Source organism: Homo sapiens, chromosome 5 (assembly GCF_000001405.40).
Source record: "Homo sapiens chromosome 5, GRCh38.p14 Primary Assembly".
Classification (NCBI taxonomy): Eukaryota; Metazoa; Chordata; class Mammalia; order Primates; family Hominidae; genus Homo; species Homo sapiens.
In genome coordinates this window covers 114,113,169-114,139,446 of record NC_000005.10, presented here as the reverse complement: position 1 = coordinate 114,139,446, position 26,278 = coordinate 114,113,169, and the positions used below count along the sequence as shown (strand labels likewise).

Below are 26,278 nucleotides of genomic sequence, written 5' to 3'. Positions count from 1 at the left end.
GTGTGTTCCTTTGCTTTGCAAATTAAAATAAAGAAGGAAGAAGTGGAGAGGAAGCCAGACCAATTTCAGACTTCTGTGCATCATATAATGTCAGAAGACATTAGAGCACTTACACAGTCCTCAGTAAAAATTTTTCCACTCCAAATCTCATATCAAATCATTTATTCTTATGAGAAAACAACACCACAAAATTATCAAGTATGCAAAAAACACTATCCACATGTCTTCTTCAAAAATACTTTTAGATGTATTCTAGCCAAGTAAGACAGAAAACTCCAAATTAGGAATCAAATAACAGAGAGGTTGCCATGTAAATGGATTAGTTACTAAATATGCTGTCCTCCATTATGAGACATTGTATATTTCAAGTAATAATACGGCAGCCCAATTACTCAAGAAAAGCATATAAAATAGATATTGGGGCAGGTATAACTTCTGATGTAGAAACTATAAAAGGTATAGTATTTATTTCCTTTTATTTTAGAATACTCTTTAGCACTAGTGCAATTGCCATAACGTGTGACCAGAAATCAAATAAGCAACACTTCCAACACATTACAGTTCATAAAGAAAATCTTAAAAGGAAACTGAAAATTGGTAGCTTCTAACCCATGTTTCTCATTCTGCCTTGTCTTTAGCCTCAACTATGAAACTCTCCTCTTCCTCCTCCTCTACCTCCCATCCTTACAGATATCTGGGTCCCACACCCAGAGAATGTGCTTTACTACCTATACAGTGGAAATGGATCTGCATTTCTTAAAGTTTCTCATTCAGGTATGAGAGAACCCCTGCCCTAAAGGGAGGTGGCTTAGATGAATAGATCAAGTTAATAACAGTGTTATTGGATATTCAAGTAAAAATATACAACCAATTTGTAGCTCCAAAGAGAAACAGAGATTTGGGTTCTACAGTGGTTTCTAAATCTGTGATCTCCACCCAATTGATAGAGAAATATATACGACCTTAAGGAAACTTTGTCTGACTTTTGATAAAAATGTGCAGATGAAATGTCAAGTACAGAATCATACAACTCATTAATTAATTCAAAAATATTAAACCCCTCTAGGTATCAAGCACAGGGCTAAATGCTGGAGATACGATATGAATAAAATAGACATGTGCCCTGCCCTCCTAGAGCTCAGGCTGTTTGTTGTATTTTGTCATAAAATATGAACTGCCTAAAGACAACAAATATACTTACAGAATACTCTCTTGGTACCTAAAGTACATTAAGAAGATTCCTTCAGACAAATTTAACAACAGAACTTTCACTGGATTCACTGTCAATGTGTTGTGGGTTTTTTTGTTTGTTTGTTTTTTACAATAAACAGCAGATTTTCAATGGTTGGTCTAAAATTTTCTCCATGTTTGGTGAAAAATATCAACGACAGTAAACTGGAAGGATTATTGCAAATTTTGACCACCTGGTAAATACCTCAGGTTGAAGCAATATGTTATTTTCCTAAAATTCTGATCTTTGGAAAAATTTAGCTCTGTTTGAAATATTCTTTAATGTTTCCACATACCACTTATTGCAACTAGTTAAAAACAAATACTTTACTGGCATCATAATTACACTTCCTATTGTTTCCCCCAATATTTACTCAAATGTTTCCATTTTTCCCATATAAAATATTATTTTCTACACTATTTATCCAGTTATTCTTGTTTAATTCTTCTCATCTTTTTTCATAAATCATTTGCCACCTCCTTAACATTATTGGAGCTACTTTTTGATTTCTTCTAGATTTCTAGAGCCAATGAGGCAGTCAGAACCTAACAGTACTCAGTATGCTGCACTTCTCCAAGTCTCATATAAGAATTATTGCCACTCTAAGCCATGCCATTTCTGCATATAAAACAACATATCTAGGCTTCATAATGCTATGCGAAGTACTTTATTATTTAATTTACTTTTAGGCCCTTTTTGGCAACTTTCTCACAAATGATAGTGTTTGTGTGATTATTTCAAGTGAACACAACTTAAGATTATATATCAAGTGACTATGATATCCTCCCCCTGTGATGTGTGCATGAAGGACTAAGTATATACGCAGGGAAGGATCAGAGGAATAAAGATGACTACCATTTTGCATTTCTTTCTAAAACAGAATTCCCATCGAGTTTTAAGAAATATTTTTTGCATATATTTAAGGATGGGAATGGGTTGACTATTATTTTTTAAAATAGAGTGTACTGCAACCCACATTGAAGACATTTTTATCTCTAATATGCAAATTAAAACAAGGGGACTTCATGACCTGTGCATAACAAAAGAGCCAATGATTACAGTGGCAGCAGGGAGCGTAGGGGGAGGACTATTTAAATCATACTGAAAGAATATTCATTCAAATATTGATTAATTGCACTATACTAGATATTTTAGATAAAGATGAAAGCAGTTTCTATCTACCACGAATAGTAGGACAGAGAAGGCAATATGGTGGTTAAATGTGGGCACAGAGCTCAGGCTCCCTGAGTCAAACACGGCTGTTATGCTTTTTAGCTGTGTGACTTTGAGAAATTATTGAACCTCATTAACCCTAAGCTTTTATTTATCAGAGGCTTAGAAAACATATAAAGCAAACTTGAATGCCTGCCACTTGCTAGAGCTTATTTAAGGTTCTCACTTAATATAATTAAGTGCTTTATGGAAACTATCACATTTAGTCATGCTTTTTCTTGTGAAGAAAGGGAGGCTCAGAGAGGTTAAGCCACACTAGAAAGAAACTACAGTCTTGTGATTGAAATATAGTTTGTCTTATTCCCAATTTCATGCCATTTCTGTTTTCAATTTTTTAAATTAATGATATACAGAGTTTAAGTGTTAAATTATTCTAAAAGGCTTATGAAGAAAAATATTAGTTTCTTATAGATCCTCCCTCCACCAGGTTCCACTGTCCAGCATGAACTGCCTATCCATCTTTGAGCCATTTCTTTTGGTATTTACTTCATTAAATAATCCTATTTAGAAAACACCATTTGACCAGTAGTTTATAATGAATAGAAATTTATTTGGTTCATGGCTGTGAAGGCAGGGAAGTCTAAGAGCACAGCACAAGCATCTGGCAAAGCCCTCTGTGTTGCATCATCCCATGGCAGAAGGCAGACAGGCAAAAGAGGACAAGAGCAAGTGAGCACGTGAGGGCTGAACTCACAGTTCTAACCACCCACTCTCAAGATATAGCAACCCCACTCCCATGATAATAGCATTAGTCTTCATGATGGCAGAGCCCTCATGGCCTAATCACCTCTTAGTGTTCCCACCTCTTAAACTAGAGGCTATTGCAAGGTCCTTTTATTTGTCTCTAGTATTCTGTTCCATGATGCTATGCTTTGGTTTGAGTCTATTTTCATCTATTTTTGTGGGAACTCAATTGGCCCTTTCAATCTGGTAACTCAATTCTTTAATTCTGGAAATTTTTCTTGAATTAATTTCAATGTTCTCCTCCCCTCCATTTTCTCTGTTCCTTCTTTATGTAGCTCTTATTTTTCAGACAGTATCTTTCCACCTCTGAATTCCTAAACTTACATTTCTTTTATCTCCAATTTTCCACACGTATATATTAATTTCCAAGAGCTTTTCTCTGAATATTCTTTTAAAGATCACATTGTGTTCATGTTTCACAGATCCAGTATTTTTTCTTATCTCTGAGAATATTAATAATCCATATTTCAAAGTGTTCACTTTCACAGTCTCTGTTTCCAGTAGATTTCTTTTTGTTTAATTTCTGTATTTAACATTCGACATTTCCTCAGATGTCTGTTAACTATTGCCTATCTGCTCACATCAGAAAAACTAACTGGAAATTCTGTGGGATGGATGCTCAACCGTGGGCTTTATACACGGGCATGTAGCTAGTCTGTTTCATTTAAGAAACCCTGATATTGGTATTTTTAGATGTTGTATGTTAGGCTTGTTGGAAATCCCAGAAAATAATTTCTAATTACTCAAATTCTGGGAATCCAGTGGGAAAAGATGACTGTTTGGAGTCGGGTTGGGGGGTCTTAATATTTAGATGCAAACTTTCACTAAATAATCCTGTTTCAGTTTGGTTCTCTTCCTTCATATGTGCCCAGTTTAGCAACACCTAGTTTATTATCTACAGAGAAAAATCTTCAATTTACTATCGGGTTGGAGTAGGGACAGTGTTGAATAAAGAGTGAAACTGCTTCCTTAAGAGCCTTGCGTCCAATTCTCTTGTTTTTATCTCCACCTTCACCCTCACTTTCTGGACATCTAAGGTTAACAATTCCTGAGCATTCTGGGGACCTTCTGTGCAAATTAGGGTGCCGTGTTTCTTCGCTATTGGCTTAAGCTTCAGCTCTCCCAGATCTACACTCCTTGTCTTATTCTTAAAATGCTTCTGACGTTGTTGCCTTTCCTTTTCATCTCCATCTTATGCCTTTTAAAAATCTTTCTACATTTCTTTATTTTACTAGAGTTTTAGAAAGTAATTTGGGAGGTATGTATTACATATGTATGCTGGATACATGGGTTCATGCCCTATCTTTAAACAGAATCTTTAAATTCCATGCTTTTCCTATTATTTTGGAATAGAGCTACCCTGAATAATGTACTTTGCTCTTTCACATTTTCTTGTTCTTGGCTCTCCTTCTGTTCAGCAAGAGAAACGCATTACTGTAAGGAAGATAAGAATTATCACGGCTGGGCTGGGTGCGGTGGCTCACGCCTGTAATTCCAGCACTTTGGGAGACCAAGACGGATGGATCACGAGGTCAGGAGTTGAAGACCAGCCTGGCCAAGATGGTGAAACTCCGTCTCTACCAAAAATACAAAAAATTTGCCGGGAGCCGTGGCAGGCGCCTGTAATCCCAGCTATTCGGGAGGCTTAGGCAGGAGAATGGCTTGAACTCGGAGGGCGGAGGTTGCAGTGAGCTGAGATCGCACCACTGCACTCCAGCCTAGGAGACAAAATAAATAAATAAATAAATAAATAAATAAATAAATAAATAAATAAATAAATCATGGTTGGATTGCAAAGTTAAAGTATTGCAAAATAGGTTCTTAAATTTAGCCTATTTCAGAAGAAACAACATATAAGTCAAGCTTTCAATTGCTAGACCCTTATACTTACCAGAAAAAAAAAAGTTTTCTAAATTCAAAAAGTTTCCCAATAAATATTAAGGACCCAAGCTAAGAGGGCCAAGCGTATGGCTTTTCCCATAAGCTGTGAAATTCCTGCTATACTAGATGGTAATTTAAAAAATCCTTCCTAGGAGAGAGTAACTAGCCTGGAGAAAGAGGGGAAGAGAAAAAAAAGCCGGCCTTAGCCCTGAGCTTCCCCTAGCACCAGGTGGGAAGTGGGGGCTGGTAAAATAATATCTCAAGATAAATTTAGGAGCAGGGATACCCGTGGCCCAGTTGCCATGTGGAAATGGGAGAAGAGACCTCCTGATGAACTGCATCCAGCCAATACAGAGAAGAAGCAATATAATTGTATAATTAGGCAAATGTGCCCCTTAAATGGGTTCAAAAGACCAAATTAAACAAGCTGCCTCTGTATAATAACAAACTAGAAATATATTGGCTATCTCTTATGATACAGAAATCAGAATCTGTGCATTTTTAACGATTTGTAAAATACCATCGGACTCCTTACTTGGTAAAGATACATACAACAAGGGTAAGCATTGATAATCTGAAGAATGTAGTATTAGTGTTAACATTTGTTTTCAGTAACTGTTAGGATCTTCACTTATTTATAATCTGATTCCCCATATAAAGACCTGAATTGCTTTTAGCTAACTCTAGAGCAGCTTTTACAGATCACAAAGTGACAGCCAAGAGGTAACCAAAAGGATGAGGTTTTACCAGCCCTGATGGAAGCTGTGGGATTCTGGAATCCCAAAAAACAATGCTCCCAGAGAAGTGACCAACACAGCACTCATTTCCCTGTCTCCGTGGTACAGGGTGGATTAATGGCCCAGGTAACACACAGAGTTGAGCTCCCTGACTTTTTGTTCCCCAAACAAAGTAATTACAAGGAACATCAGCAATTATACTCTAAGCCTAGTCACTGCCTATGCAAAGAAAAATTACAACTACTATTATCATTATAATTTTAAGAAGGCACTTTAAAAGTAAAAGGACAGCTAAATCACATGGTATGAAAAGAATCATAAAAATTAAATTCCTTGGACTGTATCAGCCTATTCTCTAGTGTATATTATACTTCTAGTGGTTCTAAAATAAAAATAGAGGAACCCACAAAAAAAAAATCTGATGGGAATCAGAAACCATTATAAATTATAGAATCTGATAATTATCAGTCTCCAACTAATGCCCTAATTACATAGACATTCATTAATTATGTTTCCTAAATTTAGGCTCAGTAAAACCACAAAAAATAACTGGTTTCTCAGGTTTTAAAATAATTCTAATCAGTATTAGATACTTTGGGAATATGGGTAGAAGAATCCCTCTCTTTCTCTCTCCATTCCCACTTGATTAGGGTGTATAAAAGGTCCCTGTTAATACATCATCAGTGCTCATGTCTGGAGGCATCTTTTACAATAGTTTGATCATAAATTAACTAAGTCTGACCTTCTGCAGTTATGTTTGATTCGTATAATCATGATGCAAAATGTACTAGTTTGCATGAAGTGTATTAGCAAGCCATTTCTCCTGCCTAATACAGTATACAGAAAGAAATTAAACAAGACCTTACCTAAGACTACTTTTTATGGCTTTTAATTTGATGCTTTTACTGTTTATAATTATGCTTTTATCCCTCAATCATTTCAATTTATGTTGCTAGGCTCCATTAAAACAATTTGAAATAATAATGAACCATTAGAGTCTATGCTTCTTTAAAAACCAAGATGTTAGATGTTAAAAATTATATGTATTCTCATCCAAAACTACTTCCTTAATTTTATAAAAAGAAAAGTAAAGTGTATTATCAGGATTTAAACTTATGATTTTAAGAATCCTGTCAGCAATGGAACAGAACAGAGAACTCAGAAATAAGATAGCCCATCTACAACCATCTGATCTTCGACAAACCCAGCAAAAACAAGCAATGGGGAAATGAGTTCCTATTTCATAAATGGAGCTGGGAGAACTGGCTAGTCATATACAGACAATTGAAACAGGACCCCTTCCTTACACCTTGCACAAAAATTAACTCAAGAGGGATTAAAGACTTAAATGTAAAACCCAAAACCATAAAAGCCCTAGAAGAAAATCTAGGCACTACCATTCAGGACATAGGCATGATCAAAGATTTCATGACACAAATGTCAAAAGCAATTGCAACAAAAGCCAAAATTGACAAATGGGATCTAATTAAACTAAAGAGCTTCTGCACAGCAAAAGAAACTATTATCAGAGTGAACAGACAAACTACAGAATGGGAGAAAATTTTTTGCAATCTATCCGTCTGACAAAACGTCTAATATCCAGAATCTACAAGGAACTTAGACAAATTTACAAGAAAAAAACAAACAACCCCATTAAAAAGTGGGCAAAGGACATGAACAAATACTTTTAAAAGAAGACATTTATGTGGCCAACAAGAATAGGAAAAAAAGTTCAGCTTCACTGATCATTAGAGAAATGCAAATCAAAACCACAATGAGATACCATCTTATGCCAGTCAGATAGTGATTATTAAAAAATCAAGAAACAACAGATGTTGTTGAGGTTGTGAAGAAAAAGGAACACTTTTACACTGTTGGTGGGTTTGTAAATTAGTTCAACCATTGTAGAAGACAGTATGGCAATTCCTCAGACACAGAACCAGAAATACCATTTGACCCAGCAATCCCATTACTGGGTATATACCCAAAGGAATTTCAATCATTTTATTATGATGATATATGCATGCGTGTGTTCAGTGCAGCACTATTCACAATAGCAAAGACATGGAATCAATCCAAATAACCATCAGTGACAGACACTGGATAAATAAAATGTGGTACACATACACCATGGAATACTATGCAGCCATAAAAAAGAACTAGATTATGTACTTTGCAGAGACATGGAAGGAGCTGGAAGTCATTATCCTCAGCAAATTAACAGGAACAGAAAACCAAACACTGCATGTTCTCACTTATAAGTGGGAGCTGAACAATGAGAACACATGGACACATGGGGGTCAGGAGGACAACACACACTGAGACCCGTTGGTGGCAGGGGTGAAGAGCATCAGGAAAACCAGCTAATGCTTGCAGGGCTTAATACCTAGGTGATGGGTTAATTCGTGCAGCAAACCACCATGGTATGTGTTTACCTATTTAACAAACCTGCACATCCTGCACATGTACCCCAGAACTTAAAATAACATTTAAAAATAAAATAAAATAAATAAGAGCTTTCAGAGAAAATAAAATTGTGCTTTCAATGGCTTAGAAAAAAAAAGAACGCTGTCAGGATAACCATAAAGGTTTTCTATTTACTTTTGGATGTTCACATTTTATTTTTGACCCAGAAAAGTGTTTGCTCATTTACCATAGTTTGAAGTTTGTCCCAGACTCAGGCCAAATTCTCTGAGCTATCTGATGCAGACAGAGTAGTAAGATGAAAGCACCGAGCTTTTTTGAATGACTGCTGTGCAAGGCGTTATATAAAAGCATGTGCATCAATAGACATACAGTGTTTGACATAGATGTATACATACATGCTTTGAGGCTGTCTGCCTTTATCCTTGGTTTTATGCCTGCATGGATTATATTAGTGTTGGGACATAAGAGGAAAAAAAATTATGAAGTATATAACCTTTCTTATGTAGTGAGTAGCGATGAAGAGACAGAGCTAGATAAAAAGATCCAGATGGACTATAGGCACAAAAACAGACTAACTCTACATCTAACTCTGCAAGTAAGAGGTGGCAGTAAATATGAAGCTGAGATGGCAAAACAACCAGGCATATAGTCAAACAAGCAGAATTACAGAATCTGAATTCACAGAGCTAGGCAATAGGTCCAAATTTTGGTAGACAAGCAAGAGAAATCTGGATCCTATTGAAGTAATTCCAACGGAAAGATCCAAAGCCCATATTTCTTCCCATGTCCTCAACTTCTTGAACGAATAAAATGATGGCATGAGCCACATTTTGGACCCACTTAAGTTCTACTAGTGCTTAAGTAACTGGAAAGCAAGCTAAGGAAAATATACCATCCTACTCTTAGAGAAATATAGGTTTGAGTAGATCTATATCTAACCAAGGATATATAAACTGAAAAGCAGAAAGAAATAGAACTACTCTGTAAAAGAAAAAAATAAATAGCTTGTAAAACAATTAAAGAATATATTTATTAAACTCTATGCCAGAAAACCAGAAAATGATAGAAAGAAAGTGCTTCGCATTCTTAAATGATAGCAGGAGCTGGTATACTAGGGAGGAAGGTGATGTTCCATAGGATGAGGTTATGTCTTAAAGCAATAGCCAACATTCAGTGCTCTCTCCCCCACTGCCAGAATGAATGAGGTTAGAAACAAGAGTAGAGATGGGAGTGACTCCTCTAGCAATTATACCTAATAACCCTATGGAAGAATTTTGGGCTTGATGTGTTTGGAGGTCCTAGACTCCACAGAAGAAGGGATTCTACCAGGAAACACAGTTATGAAGAATCAAATGAAAACAAATGTCCTCAGATCCATTTTGGATTCTTCATGCCACTGAGCCAACAGTCTATGATGCAGGTCTCCACAATGGCCAAGATTATTGACCCTGACAAGGAGGAAATTGGGTTGCTGCCACACAATAGAGGACCACGTGTGAAACTCAGGTATTCACTTCGTCACCTCTGTCTTTCCTTGTCCAATCCTGTTCCCAATACCGGAGGACTGGGTCACCAGATGGGTACACAGAACACCATCCAGCTGAAGTTACAGAAGAGTTAAGGGGAACATGGAATGGATGGTTCAAAAGACTTCTATGATTAGGATGGAAGAAGGTTTTGTGACCACAGACAGAATTAGGGAATTTAGCAGCTATGTTTTCCTAACTCTCTTTCCCTTTTTCTTCTTGTTACCTTATATGAAGAGCGTCAGTGGCAGCTAATCTTTAGGTTTTACGTGGAAATATGACCATATTGGAAACAATCCTGATAAGGTAGCAGAAGAAATTTTTTGTATTCTCTTTGTTGGGTTTCAAACAGAAGACTTTCCTCACCCTCTGTCTTAGAAGCCTCATGTGTATGGATTACATCAGTTACTTTGGATACCAGCTGGGTTTGGCTAATGGAAAGCTACAGCAGGAGTTAAGGGAGAAAAGGAGAGTAAGGGGTGGGGAACCTATCTTCCTCATTCCTTTCTGTATCCCACAAACAAAGACAACTGCTACTCTATCCTTCTGACTCCATTATTTCACCTTCCTTAAGATCTAGGGGTGGTAACAACTCCACTGTTGTTAGTCAGGCTATCAAACCCTTATCTTTGTAAATTATCCTTTATTAAATCCTCCTATAATTATCCTAATTTGAATGTACTATCTGTTTTCAAGGAGGACCTTGACCAATACATGTAGCATAACACAATGATTCTTTTTATTTACCTAGAAAATTACACAGTTTTACTTTTCCAAGATAAGAGAATTAAATATTAATCTGAATTTGGAGTAGGCTTGTGGGAATTAATGAATCTAAGCTCAAATAACATGCAGATTTACTGAAATTGTCTTTAGGATTTTTTTAATTTCATTCTCTGATTTTAAGTATCAGTTAGAAATTAACCCAAGTATGGAATCCAGACTAATTTAGTGTTAATGATCCTGTGAGGGAAAGCAGGCAGACCCTAAACATAGCTTCAATGTCTCAGCTTAACATGAGTTCCAAATAAAACATGAATTATTACAATTACTGTTATGAGTTAAATTATGTCTTGAAAATGATATGTTGAAATCCTAACCACTAGAGTTAAGAATGTGACTGAAATGGTTTGGCTGTGTCCCCACCCAAATTTCATCTTGAATTGTAGTTCCCATAATCCCCACATGTCATGCGAGAGACTAGGTGGAGATAATCAAATCATGGAGGCAGTTTCTCCCAGCCTGTTCTCACGATAGTGAGTTAGTTCCCATGAAATCTGATTATTTTGTAAGGGGCTTCCCCTTCCACTGGGCACTCATTCTTCTCCTTGCTGTTGCCATGTGAAGAAGGCCATATTTACTTCCCCTTTCATCAAGATTGTAAATTTCCTGAGGCCTCCCCAGCCACGCTGAACTGTGAGTCAATTAAGCCTCTTTCCTTTATAAATTACCCAGTCCTGAGTATGTCTTTATTAGCAGAACTAGAACAGAATAATACAGTAAATTGGTACCAGGTAGTGGGGTGCTGTTATAAAGATACTCAAAAATGTGGAAGCAACTTTAGAACTGGGTAACAAGCAGAGGCTGGAACAGTTTGGAGGGCTCAGAAGAAGACAGGAAGATGTGGGACAGTTTGGAACTTCCTAGAGATTTGTTGAGTGGCTTTGGCCAAAATGCTTATAGTGATATACACAATAAAGTCCAAGCTGAGGTGGTCTGAGATGGAGATAAGAAACTTGTTGGGAACTGGAATAAAGGTGACTCTTGCTGTGTTTCAGCAAAGAGATTGGAGGCATTTTTGCCCCTGCCCTAAAGATCTGTGGAACTTTGAATTTGAGAGAGATGATTTAGAGTATCTGGTGGAAGAAATTTCTAAGTAGCAAAGCATTCAAGAGAAAGCAGAGCATAAAAGTTTGGAAAAATTGCAGCCTGATGAGGCAATAGAAAACAAGAACCCATTTTCTGGGGAGAAATTCAAATCAGCTGCAGAAATTTGCATAAAAAACAAGGAGCTGAATGTTAATCACCAAGCCAATGGAGGAAATGTCTCCAGGGCACATCAGAAACCTTCCCAGCAGCCCCTCCCATCACATGGCCAGAGGCCTAGGAGGAAAAAATGGTTTTGTAGGCCAGGCCGAGGGCTCCCCTGCTGTGTGCAGCCTAGCGACTTGGTGCCCTGCATCCCAGACACTCCAGCTGTGGCTAAAAGACGCCAAGGTGCAGCTCGAGTCATGGCTTCAGAGGGTGCAAGCTTCCACGTGTTGTTGAGCCTGCAGGTATACAAAAGTCAAGCACTGACGTTGGGGAACCTCCACTTAGATTTCTCAGGATGTACGGAAACGCCTGCATGTTCAGGCAGAAGTCTGTTTCAGGGGTAGAGCCCTCACAGAGAACCTCTTCCAGGGCAGTGCAGAAGGAAAATGTGGAGCCGGAGCCCCCAGCCCCTACACAGAGTTCCCACTACAATGCTTAGTGGGGCTGTGAGAAGAGGGCCACCATCCTCTAGACCCCAGAATGGTAGATTCACTGACAGCTTGCACCATGCACCTGGAAAAGTCTCAGACGCTCAATGCCAGCTCATGAAAGCAACCGGAAGGGAGGCTGTACCCTGCAAAGCCACAGGAGCAAAGCTTCCCAAGGCTATGGGAGCCCATCTCTTGCATCAGCGCGACCTGGATATCAGACATGGAGTCAAAGGAGATCATTTTGGAACTTTAAGGTTTAATGACTGCCTTTTTGGATTCTGGACTTGCGTGGAGCCAATAACCCCTTTGTTTTGGCCAATTTCTCCCATTTGGAATGGGTGTGTTCACTCAATGCCTGTACCCCCATTGTATCTAGGAAGTAACTAACTTGCTTTTGATTTTACAGGCTCATAGGTGGAAGGGACTTGCCTTGTCTCAGATGAGACTTTGGACTGTGGACTTTTGAGTTAATTCCTTAATGAGTTAAGGCTTTGGGGGAATGAGTTAAGGCTTTGTTGGAAAGGCATAATTGGTTTTGAAATGTGAGGACATGAGATTTGGGAGAAGCCAGAGGTAGAATGATATGGTTTGGCTGTGTCCCCACCCATAATTCATCTTGAATTGTAGTTCCCATAATCCCCATGTGCCATGGGAGGGACACGGTGGAGATAATTGAATCATGCGGGAGGATTCCTACATCCTGTTCTCATGAGAATGAGTTAGTTCTCACAAGATCTGATGATTTTATAAGGGGCTTCCCCCTATACTGGGCACTCATTCTTCTGCTTGCTGCTGCCATATGAAGAAGGCCATGTTTGCTTCCCCTTCTGCCATGACTGTAAGTTTCCTGAGGCCTCCCCAGCCATGCTGAACTGTGAGTCAATTAAACTTTTTCCTTTATAAATTACCCAGTCTTGAGTGTGTCTTTATTAGCAGCCTGAGAACAGAGTAATATAGTGACCTTATTCAGCAATAGGGTCTTTCCAGGGCTAATTAAGTTAAAATGAGTTCATTAGGATGGGACCTAATCCAGTATCACTGGTGTCCTTATGAAAGGGGGTGACTTGAACAGAGAAACAGATGCTCACAGCTGGAAAATGATGTGAAGAGACACCAGGAGAATATCACATAAAGATGGAAGATTGGTGTTATGTATGTATAACCCAAGGAATGCCAAAGATTGCTAGAAAACCAACAGAACATAGGAAGGATACCCTTTGTTATGGGCTGAATTGTGTCCTCCCAAAATTCATGTGCTGAAGTTCAAACCTCCAGTACCTTTGTGACTGTTTGGAGATAGGGCCTTTAAGAGGTAATTAAGTTAAAATGAAGCATTAGGATGGGCCCCAATCCACTATGATTGCTGTACTTATAAGAGGAAATTTGGACACAGACACATATGGAGGGAAGATGCTGTAAAGACACAGGGAGAAGACAGCCACCTACAAGACAAAGAGAGAGGCCTCAGAATAAACCAATCATTGATCTCACACTTCTAACCTCCAGAACTGTAAGAAAATAAATCTCTGTGTAAATCACCACATCCATGGTACTTATGGTAGCCCTAGCAAACTAATGCACCCTACAAGTCTCAAAGGGTGTATGACCCTGTGGACGCCTTGATCTTGGACTTCCAGCCTCTAGAACTGTGGGAGAATAGATTTTTTTTAGGAAGTTGTAGAGTAGAAAGCAAGGTGATAAAAGTGGAGAGCTTTCCTACTTGCTTTAGAATATACATGGGAGCAACACTCCCTACAAATTCATTTTATTCCATTTTATACCAATGATGCTGATTAGCATGAATTTAAAAATATGTTAATACTAATGCAACAGGATATAAAATGAAACTTCCTGTCTTAATTTCAGCTGAGACTCCAAAACTACAGTGGGAAAGTAGTCCCACCCTCCAAAGAAAAGTGCTACACAGTTTCATCAAGACTTTTAAAGATGGTGGGTAAACACTGGAGTTTTTATTTGTTTAACTTTTAGTCTAACACCTACCATGAGGGTACAAAAAGTTAAATTTGGGGGGAAGAAACCCCTAAGTTTAACATATTCTATTATAACACGATTTCTCCAATATATACAAATTAGAGCAAAATTTTAGGTAACCAATTGCCCCTTTTAGTTGAGGTTTTATTTATTCATTCAACAAACATTTATTCAGGGCTGTGTCTCAGGTACTACTGTATTGACTGAGGACACAGCAATGATCAGAACAGAAAATATCTTCTTCCTCCAAAGCTTACCTCTGGTGAATGAGAAGGAAAAATTAACAAGATAAATAAATAAAGTATTTCTAACGATAGATGTGATAATAGTGAGAAGAAAAATAAAGCCAAGAAGAATAACACAAAGTGTGTGTATTGGAGGTGTATACCAATTTTACATAATGTGGACAGGAAAAAAAGGTTACATTGAGCTGAAGCAATTTGATAGAAGACCAGAAAGAAATGAGAAGGCAAACAGTGTAAATTTCTTGGAAAAGATGTTGAGAATAGAGGAGACAGCAATTGTGCCATCCTGAGGGCAAACTGTCTTCCAAAGACCAGGGAAAATGCCGCCTGGACTGGAGCAGAGACAAGGGAGAGAGTAACGGGAGATGAGGTCAGACAGGTAATGTGGTGGGAAGGGAAGTTAACAGAGGTGAGAGCTTCTACTTGTAATAATTTTGATGCTCCAAGGCACACACAATGTCCCTTACTTCACCACCCACAGGAAATTCCAGGGGGGGCAGATCATGGTTTTTGAGGCTGCAGTTTCTACTTATTAAGATTCTCCAAGTTCCATACGGTGTCCCTTACCTCACCGCCCACAGTGAACTCCAGTTTTGCAAACATCCATGGCATTTGTTCTGTGATTTTTCCTTTCTAGATCTCTGAAGAAAAGTAACAAATGTTCAAGAATTATTTGTGATTTGGGGAAAGAACTTGTTTTATGAAGAGTCCCCTAAAGGTTCTTTTCCTTTCCTTTTATTTGAATGTCCAAAACCTTTTTGAAGTTATCCCTTTGATAATTTCAATCCATTTATCATCCTGACCTCAAACCTGCCATTATGATGACAAACAACTTGGCTGATCAAACTAGCAGAAAATGGAAGAATTCAATGAAAACTATACCCAAATATATATGTTATAAACCGTAACAAGCATGAGGTATTTATGACACCTTGATTACTGAGATTTAGCTTTTTCTGTGTAAAACAACATTCTTGTTGCAAAAATTTGGGAAGGAAAGAAGGCAGTAAGGGTCAGACAAGTTGAAAAAGCAGCTGTGTAACTGACAAGACCTGGTGTAGCCCACAATTGCAATTAGTAAGAGCATCAAGAAACCAAGGTGGCTGCACAGGGAGTCCCCAAGGGGACAAAGTTTCACAGGCATGTATTTGAAAAAGGAAGTAGGAGCATACAGTGTAAGAGAAATAAAACAGACTGACATGAATCTAGAATATCAAAGTCAAAAATCTGCTGATGCTTATGAAAAAAGCTGAAGACAAGAGGGACCTTTTTATTTGATCTGACAAAAAAATTAAGAAAATGAGGCCGGGCGCGGTGGCTCACGCCTGTAATCCCAGCACTTTGGGAGGCCGAGGCGGGCGGATCACGAGGTCAGGAGATCGAGACCATTCTGGCTAACACAGTGAAACCCCGTCTCTACTAAAAAACACAAAAAATTAGCCGGGCGTGGTGGCGGGCGCCTGTAGTCCCAGCTACGCGGGAGGCTGAGACAGGAGAATGGCGTGAACCCGGGAGGCGGAGCTTGCAGTGAGCCGAGATCGCGCCACTGCACTCCAGCCTGGGCAACAGAGCGAGACTCTGTCTCAAAAAAAAAAAAAAAAAAAAAAAAAAAAATTAAGAAAATGTACCTCTTACAGTATTAGAACTCAAAGTAAGTGATGTTATACTAAGGATGCACCTGCTTGCTTTGAATACATGCAAACCTCCAAGCACAGAAAAAAAGTGGATACAATACAGCAGCAAATGTGAGTAAAGAATCTGTCAATAATTATTTGAAAAATTACAGTGAATTAGAGATATAAGATATCTGGGCAAAAAAAACACTGCCTCAGTAAGAGTGGTGCCTGGTGCACTGATAACATGGATTTATCTTTGTGTCACATCATTCATTTTCTACCGTCCTTATATACTGTCTCTCACACTGTCATCTGTCACACATTAAGTCTGCTCTGGGATGGATCCACTTGTCATTCTCCAAAACCTCCTGGTTACATTACAGAAAATGCTAAATCTCTGTGTTCCTAACTACATAATGCAGATATTTTAAAATATAGCGTGTTCTTCTTCTACTTACAAGAATTTGCTTTCCTCCAGTGTTCTTAGATAAACAAGAACTTCCCATCCCAGGGGTGATTTCTCTTCTATGTCTGCAGCCAAGCAGCCTTCTCTTCCAGGTGTCTCCTGCTCTCTCTATCCCTCACCCTCTTCCTCGTTTGTTTTCTCTTTCTGTTGAGAAATAGGGTGCTTCATATTCCTCTCCTTTTTTGTTGGGGAGAATTAATTCCAGCTTTGAGTCCAAGCTCAAAACAAATTATCCAATGGGCAGCACAGAGAGCATCTTATTTCCTGAGTACCACTAAGTATCCTACCCAACAAAGACATCCCTAGGGAGTGAAGGACACTTGGCAAATAATTTTGCAGGGCCTTGTCTTATACTAGCAGTTTGATCTTTAAAACGTAATAGGAATTCATGGGCTCGTATAAGGTATAGTGATTTTTCAATGAAAGGACAGAATAATGAGTAGAAAAGAGATATATATTGGTTTCTTTTCCAATCAGTGCATATGAAGATTCTTCTTAGTGTTAAAGCACCATCTCTTCCTGTCCAGGAAGAGGAATCATCAATTCACATTCTTTATTGTCATATGCCTAATTCCTGGCTCTTTCATACTGCCTTCTGGGAGAAAAAGGTAGCAATGCTGTTATTACTCACAATGCCATGGCTCTTCAAACCTATTCAGATTCTTAAAAATGTAGGCCTGCTTGCCTCTTCAGTTCCCTAACTCCATTTATTTAATGCTGATTACATTATTACTCCTAACACCACATCATTCATTGTGCTGCCTATAAATACTGGCTTCTAATGACTCTCACAAAAGTTGTTATTGTGCTTTACTGACAATGCCTACACATGCAAGTCTCACTCAGAGGATGCACAAAAATGTAAATGATAATTTGTTCTTTGATTGTGTTAAATTTACTCTTCAAAATTGTATGGTGTAAAACAGAACAAACATCCTCCAATCCCTTGTCTTCTTTGAACTCTTAAGAACATAATCCTGGCATTATTAAAGTGTGATCTTTTTCAGTGTTGAACACACTGTTGCCTTCCACACACAGCCACCCAGGTGGGGGTAAAAGGAGTGTTTCCATGGGGGCAAGAAATGTCTCTCGCTTATCCAACATACCTTAAGACCAAGTTGGGAGAGTATGATGTCACCACATCGATCAGAGGCAAGAGAGGATATCAGCTGGGAGGACCCATTGGCACTGCAGAGCCACAGTCTAAAAATGCTTATGAGGAAATAGGTGCAGCCACTACCAGGCATGGCCCAACATGTAGTATGGAGAGGATGGGGCAACTTTCCTTATTGTCAGCAGCTGGGGGGTTATGGGTAAAGGACGCTTGTCTCCAATCTTGCTGCCTTCTGTACTGCCGAATGGAGATGAACCTGCAGTCACAACATGGGTAAGCAAGAGCCAGTATATAGGTCCGTATACATGGCTCAGGTCTAAGGGATGGTAGTGTGCCAGGGGTACTGCAGGGCCCTGAGCTCATCCTGTGTACATATGTGAGAGTTACCTGGAATGATCACATCAATCACATGGGCACCATGCTCGTAGCCTAATCTTGTGTGAGCTCACAAAGGAAATACTACATGGGCTTGCAGGAGTGATCAACTTACCAAGATACCCTTTGAAACCAGAGTCCTGGCATTTGAGTCCAGCCATGGAACCCTGGGATGATACCATAGGTGCAAATTCCACAGGTCCTCAGGATATCTGGTTAATCTGTCATGTGTGGTGGAGAGCTCCAAATACTTCCAAAAGGAAAAAAGGAGACGGAGGCCCATGCATGTTCCAACCCAGGTTCAGGACACCCTGACTGGATGGCACTACCAACCCTGGACCATTCCAGACATCATAGGGGAATTTAGAAAATTTCAAGGAAGACACAGTCAAGGCACAAGACACCCCAATTGATAAGGCCTGGGGCAGAGGCCCCATTTGCCCAGGTCTAAGGGAAGTACTGCTCCCTAGACACAGCAGCTCATATTTTTAAGTATGCCATGCTCAGGATCATACAGCAGATACATACTTATAAAATATATCTCCTAGTTTACATAGTGGAACTAAGTGTCAGTATTTCTTGACACTCCACAAAATGGCAAAGTGTTCCACAATCTGAATAAATACAAAAAAATTATTTGGTCTAATTATTTACTTTATTATTGATGATACTAAAGCCTAGATAGGTATTAGTCACTTACCATGTTGCCTCCCCATCTCCCACTGCTTACACTTTGCCAATACTCAGGTTCCCAAAGTATAAATTGGCCTCCCCCTTTGCATCAAGTGCAATGGCCTTGATTTTCTCAGCACAGTATAAGATATTGCTCACCACTGGTGCTCAATCAATACTTTGTGAACAAATGACTCAAATTCCCATAACATGGATGGCTCGAGAGTTCATTTAGCTTAGTTGAACACTCCAAAGGGTGATGATACAGCAGAAGTTTATTACATTACAAACATGACAAACCAGGTTTCAAAACCAGAGAAACCTGAAATAAGATCCTCAGCGCTGACCCCAGTGATGGGATAAACAAATTGGCAGCTGTAATCACTCCAGTGTAATCCTATTAATCAACAGCCCCAGAATAAAATAGGAGACAACCAGGACTACTGCGGCAGTGCTAAATTAACTTCCTCCACCACTGTCACACAGGAGGAAACGATTCATCATATTGAAGCCTGAAGCACATTTTTCACATGAAAAATGAACTTAAGTATAATTTAATGAAACCTCAGAAAACAGGTATATTTCCATAATGTTTAGGGCTTTATTCTTTTAAAAAAATCAAGAGCTTCCTGGATAAATGATGATCAAAGAGTAGGGTACTGCCCTTGTTGACCTTCCCTGGCATAGATTTCTTATATGCCCTTTACTGAGTAAATAAATAAGTTTGCACATGCGCACATGCTGTGTTTTTCTTTTCCTTCTTGGTGACTTTCCATCTCCTAATGGCATGATGCTGATGATCTCCAGCATCTCAATTGTCCTCAAAACCTATGCGAGACACCAAGACATAGTAAGTCTGCCTCAGTCTTTCTCGATCAGCATAGCCACGCAGATAGTCAGAACCTTTGGGCTATAGTCACTTTGCTTAGTGATGAAGGCTTTTTGGAGCTCTAAAGCTTTCAAGAATATCATATGCGATTTTCAAATATCAGAGCAGGTGGAGAGGACTCTGGCCCAAAATGAGGGCTTCTTAGAACACGTGGATCTTAAACAGAGTCTTGAAGAAAAGGGAGGGTGTGATCAGACAGGAGGAAGACGGGATGCTTCCAATGGGAGGAATTAGAATGTTCAGGGTATAGAGGAGAGAACTTCACAGAAAATAGAAGGGGCCTGCGATATGAGCAGCCCACCTCTATTAGATGATGTGCCAAATAACGGTGGTTAAAAATAACACTGGCTAGATATGCTGAGGACAGATTAGAAAACTGGTGTGCATAAATTCATGTTCTTTAATTTGAAAAAGAATTAAAGCACAAAAAAGCTTCGTATCTAAAAGAAGCCAATGGAAAACACTTATAAATGAGACCATTCCCAATACTTCCCTAATTTATCAGACTTTTGTGTATCTAAGTACGATTTGGTTGTTTGAACATGCTCTCCCTCTATGGGACTCTTTAATAATGGAGCATGAGGTAGTGAGAACAGTCAGTGGCCTGCACATCAGAGCTGTGAGCTCCAGAACTCGCTCCTGGGCTGACCCACTGGATTGCTTTGACTAAATCTGGAAACACCTCTAACCAAACTTAGAAAGGAATAAACTGATTCTCCTGGCAATACTGCTTTAGTAATATTTACTAGGCACTTAATATACTGCATGTTTAGGCATCAACACCTTTGGGGGTTTTGCTTGTTCCTTGTTATATCCACCCCCATGAGATTGGCATTATCCTCCTCCTCTTCTATATGAAGAAACTGTGGCACTGGGATCAAGGCCCAGGTCTGTCAGTCTCCATGGTCTATATCCTCATCCCCTCCCCTATCCTGCCTCCATCTTGTCTCCGAAGGTGCCACCTGTTTCAGTTGTTCCTGAGTGAGGAAAAGTGAGAAGGACATCATCAGCTGTGCCCTGCAGAATGTGGTTTTGGTTTTGCTTAACAAATCATAGGCATCCAGTAGGTATATGTCTGATGATTAACTTTATGTGTCAACCTGACTGGGCCACAGGATGCCAAGAATAAACATTTCTAGATGCATCTGTGAGGGTGTTTCTGACTGAGATTCACATGCAAATCAGCATACTTGATAAGACAGCCTGCCTTCCCCAGTGTGGGTGGGCATCATTCAGTCACAGAGGGCCTGAACCAAAGCCAGAGGAAGAAGGCATCTGTCTTCCTCCTCTTATTTTTTCTGCCTCACTGGTGAGCTGGGACAACTCAGCTCATCTTCTCCTAACCTTGGGCTAGGATTTACACCTCTGGTTCTCAGGCCTTCAGACTTGTACTGAATTACACAAACTGGCTTTCCCGGGTCTCCAACTTGCAGACTGTAGATTGCAGGACGTCTTGGCCTCCATAATTGGAATGAGCCAATTCCTCAGAACAAATCTTTCTTTTTCTCATGAATGAGTGAGAGAGTGTGTGTATGTGTGTGCCTGTGTGTGTGCACTGATGTGTTGATATTACTGAGGTTTTTTAGGGAACGGGGTGAAAATGAATTTCAAATGACTCAACAATAGAGCACCGCAGCTCCTGGAAATCGTGAGAGTTCAAGACTTGCCTTTTCACTAAGCTAGGGAAATGCTGTAAAGGTAACCCTTCTTTGTACAGCTTTACACTTCTGTAGCTGTACAGTTGTGCTAGCTATTACTGCAGGGCAGCTCTATATGACACAAACTCTTGGTGATGGCAAGGCCAGCCTTTCCACCTCTTTGTAGCTATATCTGTTTGATGTACTCCAGCCTCTGCCCCTTATGAACTTTGTGATATGTGGCAAACCAGTTCACCTCCCTGAGCTTTCCTCTGCACTGAAATGAGAATGATAAGGGCACTTACCTATAGGGATTAAATGAAGGAGAGGGTACAGCTCAGAGGTAGAGCACTGGACTGAAGATCAAGGGATTAAATGAGATAGTGCATGTCAAACATGTGGCACAGTGCCCTGCATGACATGAGGGCTCAAGGACTACTTACATTGTTAATATTTCCAGTTCTGTATTGGGTCATGCAGTTCTTCCCACTGAAAGCTTTCCCACCTCTCCTCAAAGACCTCCCTCTCAATGCTTCTACTCCTTTCTAAATAGGTCAAATCTTATTTCCCCCAGGCCTCTTGAGCTATCTCTCTTCTGGATGCCTGGGTCCATATCTGCATGCAGACAATCCACGGCTCAAGCAATTCACTGCTCTCCAGTTATTTCAAAGGCAGACTGTTGTCACCCAAGTACATTTTGCCGTTGCTGAAGAAACAGAGGCCCAAGGCACTGGTGCTGACTACTCCCAGGTGGCCCCTCAGACAGGACCCCTGTCAGGGAATAAGCTGTGGTATCCACTATGTTTACTAGGAAAAGGAAGGGTGAGGCACTCAGAGGGTTACCACAGTGGTCAGAGTGGGTTAGGCAGGAGAATGAACACTGAACATGATCCAGGCTGCCCTCTGTAAGACGAGGTGAAAAAAGCTACTGCGGTTCTCAGAGTGGCCACACCCAATGCAGGTATAAAAGTGGCCAGGTTAGAAAACTCCCAGCTGGATCCTAGGTCTGTGTCTATCTGGCTATTCATAAGCAAGCTTGGGCGATATGCTTAGTCATGTCTTGATCTCTCATGTAAAAAGTAAGCCAGAAATTAAATTTCCCTCTTGGCTCTCTGCTTATGTTTTCTACTCACATTGTTTCTGTGGTTAAATGTCTACCATTGTGAAGGTCACAGAGCCCTCCGAGCCTTCTTACAAGCAGAGAAGGCCACAAATGACCATTATCAAACAAGACCTGTCTGACTGTCTCCTTGCATGACTTTTTATACTCATGGAAGCAGATGGCAATATTATGATGAACAGAAATGGGTAACTGTCCAGGGAAGCAAAAGATAAGGACATATCCTCATCCCTAATATCCAATCATTCTTTAAAGAGTGTATATAAATTATTTGACAGTTGTTCAAAACCAAAGTCTCCCACAACTTGCTAGAGAATCAAAAATGGATGATGGCCAAGTAGAAATTTACCAAATCAAAATAACTGCAGGAAATGACACCTGAAGGTTTAAATTACTAAATATTGTTTTACCCTTCAAAGTGTGCCAGAAAAACACATTTGTAATCATTAGCAATATATGCACGAAGTAATGGATATTACTAAACTGCCTCCTGAAGCATTTGCTTAAGTGGGTAAACAGGAACCCTCTTATGTCACAATTTCACAGTTCATTAGAAAGAATCCTTTCTACATATACTATATACATGAGGAAAATATCACCCTAATCCTGATCAAATGATCACAAAATCAATGTTAATAAGGAGCAAGAAAATAGTAGTGTACTTATCACTTACATTTAAACATCTTTTCAAACAATTTTAATTCCAATTCTACAATGACTTGTAACTTTAGTCGGATAATCAGAAAAACTTTCTTTTATTTAAAAATTCTCCCTTTGCCTCTCTGACTGCAGAGAACCTCCTTTGTTTTGTTTTCCTGACATTCATTCTCCCATCCTCTGGCAATGACCCTCTGGTTTTCCCATGGGGATACACCTCTCCCTCGCTCTCTCTCTCTTTGTGACTTGGGGAGGTCTCACTTTCTACTTGGCTCCAGTGGAAGCATTCCACTACCACTTCACCTGGAAGGAACAAGAACCCAGCAGACTCATCTCATATTTCTTCTGCTCGCTAAACTCTGCTTCCTTCCTTTCATTCTATGTAGATCTGCATTCTCCCTCCTTTATTCACAGGGCAGAAGTTTCTATTCTCAGCTCCTAAATTTTGTTGTTACTGTCCCATTCTCATCTACATGTATGCCAGCTGTCTTTGCATCCTGATTCCAAAATCCCAAGAAAGAAATTCCTGCCAACATATATGTATGTAACAAGAAACCAAGGAGTTATCGCCAAGAGTACAGGGGCTTATATTAATACAAAGCTGGGTGGCTTATTCCTCGCAAATCTAGTATCAAACACCAAAAGAAAGGGCAGGCTCTTTAGCTGGATGATACCCTAAAAGATGTCTACTACAACTTCCTTCTTCCCTTTCAATCTTACCTTTTTTTTTCCCTCAGTGGGCCAACATTTCCCAAATCACCCAGAATGATAATTTCTCAAGTGCAGAGAGCTTACCAGGATTCAAACAAAGTGTCAAATCTTTGGAAGTCTGGGTACCAACAGCTGCTAGAAAGAGAATCTGACATTTCCCTATCATCACTGGCATTCATGTCATCTTCTTTTATGAAAGATGATGAAAGTTACCCAAGCGATTAGGTAGGATTTTCATGAGACTAAATCATCAGCCTTATATAATCAAATGCCATTATACAAGGTTTCCAGTGGTTAACCCACAGCATAGAATGTTAATTTGTTGTCTTTAAAACTTGCACAATGCTAGCTATGGTCTGAGGAGCAGTAAAAGCATTTTATAGGTGACAAATGGTTAGTATTCAATACAATGCTTAAAAAGCAAGTTAATAAGGAAAAAATTATTTGCATAAATTAGAAAAGTTAGACATTTTCGGGAACATCAAATTATTGTCAACATTTTGCTGCTTGTAAGCTTATTTTTAATAAAATCAATCATATGGAATAATCACTAGGCTTAGTGAACTCAATGAAAGCCTGACATCTTACTAAATTCATTCAGAGCAAAGAGATTCCCAGAATGAAGAAAGAGAATTAGAACTTCACCATGTCACCACAGCAATTCTATTAACTCATAGGTATGCAGGCAGACATCAAATTATTTTTACATTATATATATCCCACCAACTAATATTGTGAAGGGAAAAGGAAATATTCCATGACATAGTTTAGCAAACACCTCCTGAGAAGTCATAGAATTGAGCTAATAGTCTAGGCGAAGCTGTTAATCCTGTATTGCTGTGTGAAATATTTTGATTGCCTAAAATTGTCGTGCAATGATCCATTTTGATTTCTTCTTGCTAGCTAGATTACCAGCTCCACGAGAGCCTAATGCTTGGCAGGAGTGGACACTCAGTGAATGCTGATTAGATGATTGATTAGAAAACCACCAACAATGAGGTGATGAGTGAAAACAAATAGATTAGCAAGGAATAATCCAGTTTCCAGTTCCAGAATAAACTGTACAATCACTCCATTTTATTCATAGTCCATGAGAGGAGCCATGTTTTCATTGTTTATTTCATTTTCTCAGCTGCATCCCTAGAACCTTTAACAGTACCTGGAACAAACTAAGGACTGGAAAAGCTTACGCCTATAACTCCAGCACTTTGGGAAGCTAAGGTGGGAGGATCACTTGAGCCCAGGGTTTCAAAGCCAACCTGGGCAACAAAGCGAGACCTTGTCTCCACAAAAAATAAAAATAAATTTAAAAATTTAGCTGGGCATAGTGGTGCATGACTATCATCCTAGCTAATCAGGAGGCTAAGCAAGAGGATCACTTGAGCCCAGGAGTTCATGGTTACAGTGAGCTATGATTGCAGCACTGCATTACAGCCTGGGAAAAAGAGTGAGACCTGTCTCTAAAAAAATGTTTTGATGAGTAAGTGAATTCCACCAGTGCAGTCCAGGAAGAAGAAGAAGAGTCTGCATCAATTTAACTTTTCACACACAGAAATGTCCTTCTGTATAACCACTTCTAATCTAAGTGATTAATAGAAAAACCAGAAGAATAAAAACATACATTGTAAGTTTGGAAAAGAGACTTACAAGAAAAGGGACAGTTGGCTAGAGTTGTTTACCCAGTGGGTTATCACTAACAGACTATCTATGATACTGAAGGTGATCCAAATGTCACCCCAAAATATGCTACCCCAAAATAGGTCATTTTGACATAAGGATTACTTTGAACTGAAGGAAACTGAGATTTCACAGAAGCTGCCAGGACTTCCTTTACCTGACTAAAACCAGAAACTCCTGAGCAATGAGTACTGCCATAGACTCCCTCCTGCGAGGAAGTTTTTGGCCATGAAGAAGACAGAAAGTTGGCACCAAGATGAACCTGCACAACCAAGCCTTACTAAAATAACCTGGATCTTCCATTAGATTCTCCCATATATCTGCCTTCCTCAGGTTACCACTCCCAGAAGCTAAAAAAATCTTTCCTTTGCCTTGTCACATGTCCATAATTTATCACTCTTTGTTAAAAATGGTACATAAATTCTCAGGCCTATCTACTTCTTTGAAGCTTTACTTCTTTTCTAGGAAGGCCCCTGTGTTAAGAAAAGCTAACGTCAGATAAAATTTTTTTGCCTTTTCTCCTGTTAATCTGTCTTTTCTCAGTCTATTTTACAGGGCCCCAGCCAATGAACCTAAGAGGGAGAGGAAAAAAGTTTTTCTCCTCCCCTAAGCTACCTTTGACTTTTTCTTCTCCACATTAAGTATGTGATTACATACCGCTCTTTTGCTTGGTGATTTTAACTTGGATAATGAGACCGAGATCTGACTTCATGACTCTCCTCAATTATATGAAACATTATTTCATGAAAGATCCTAGGCAGCTGACAGTCATTCTGAGTAAGAAGAAATAGCCTTAAAGAGTAGCAAGAGAGACTTTAACTCATCCTGGGAAAGAACTCCAGACTCATTCGACATTGAACATT

At 39.3% G+C, this 26,278-nt stretch overlaps 1 protein-coding gene across 3 annotated transcripts in view, besides 1 other annotated feature; it reads right to left on the bottom strand.

The window, feature by feature from the left end:
* KCNN2 (potassium calcium-activated channel subfamily N member 2) overlaps positions 1–26,278 on the bottom strand; it is a 440,519-nt gene that overhangs the window by 357,050 nt on the left and 57,191 nt on the right. The gene's annotated exons all lie outside the window — the stretch shown is intronic.
* Positions 15,736–15,946: a silencer, noted in NCBI's record as "fragment chr5:113459198-113459408 (GRCh37/hg19 assembly coordinates)". NCBI's record gives its function as "represses an EF-1alpha promoter that drives an FKBP-Casp9 reporter gene in an ReSE screen in K562 erythroleukemia cells {active_cell/tissue: K562}" and the evidence as "EXISTENCE:reporter gene assay evidence [ECO:0000049][PMID:32094911]".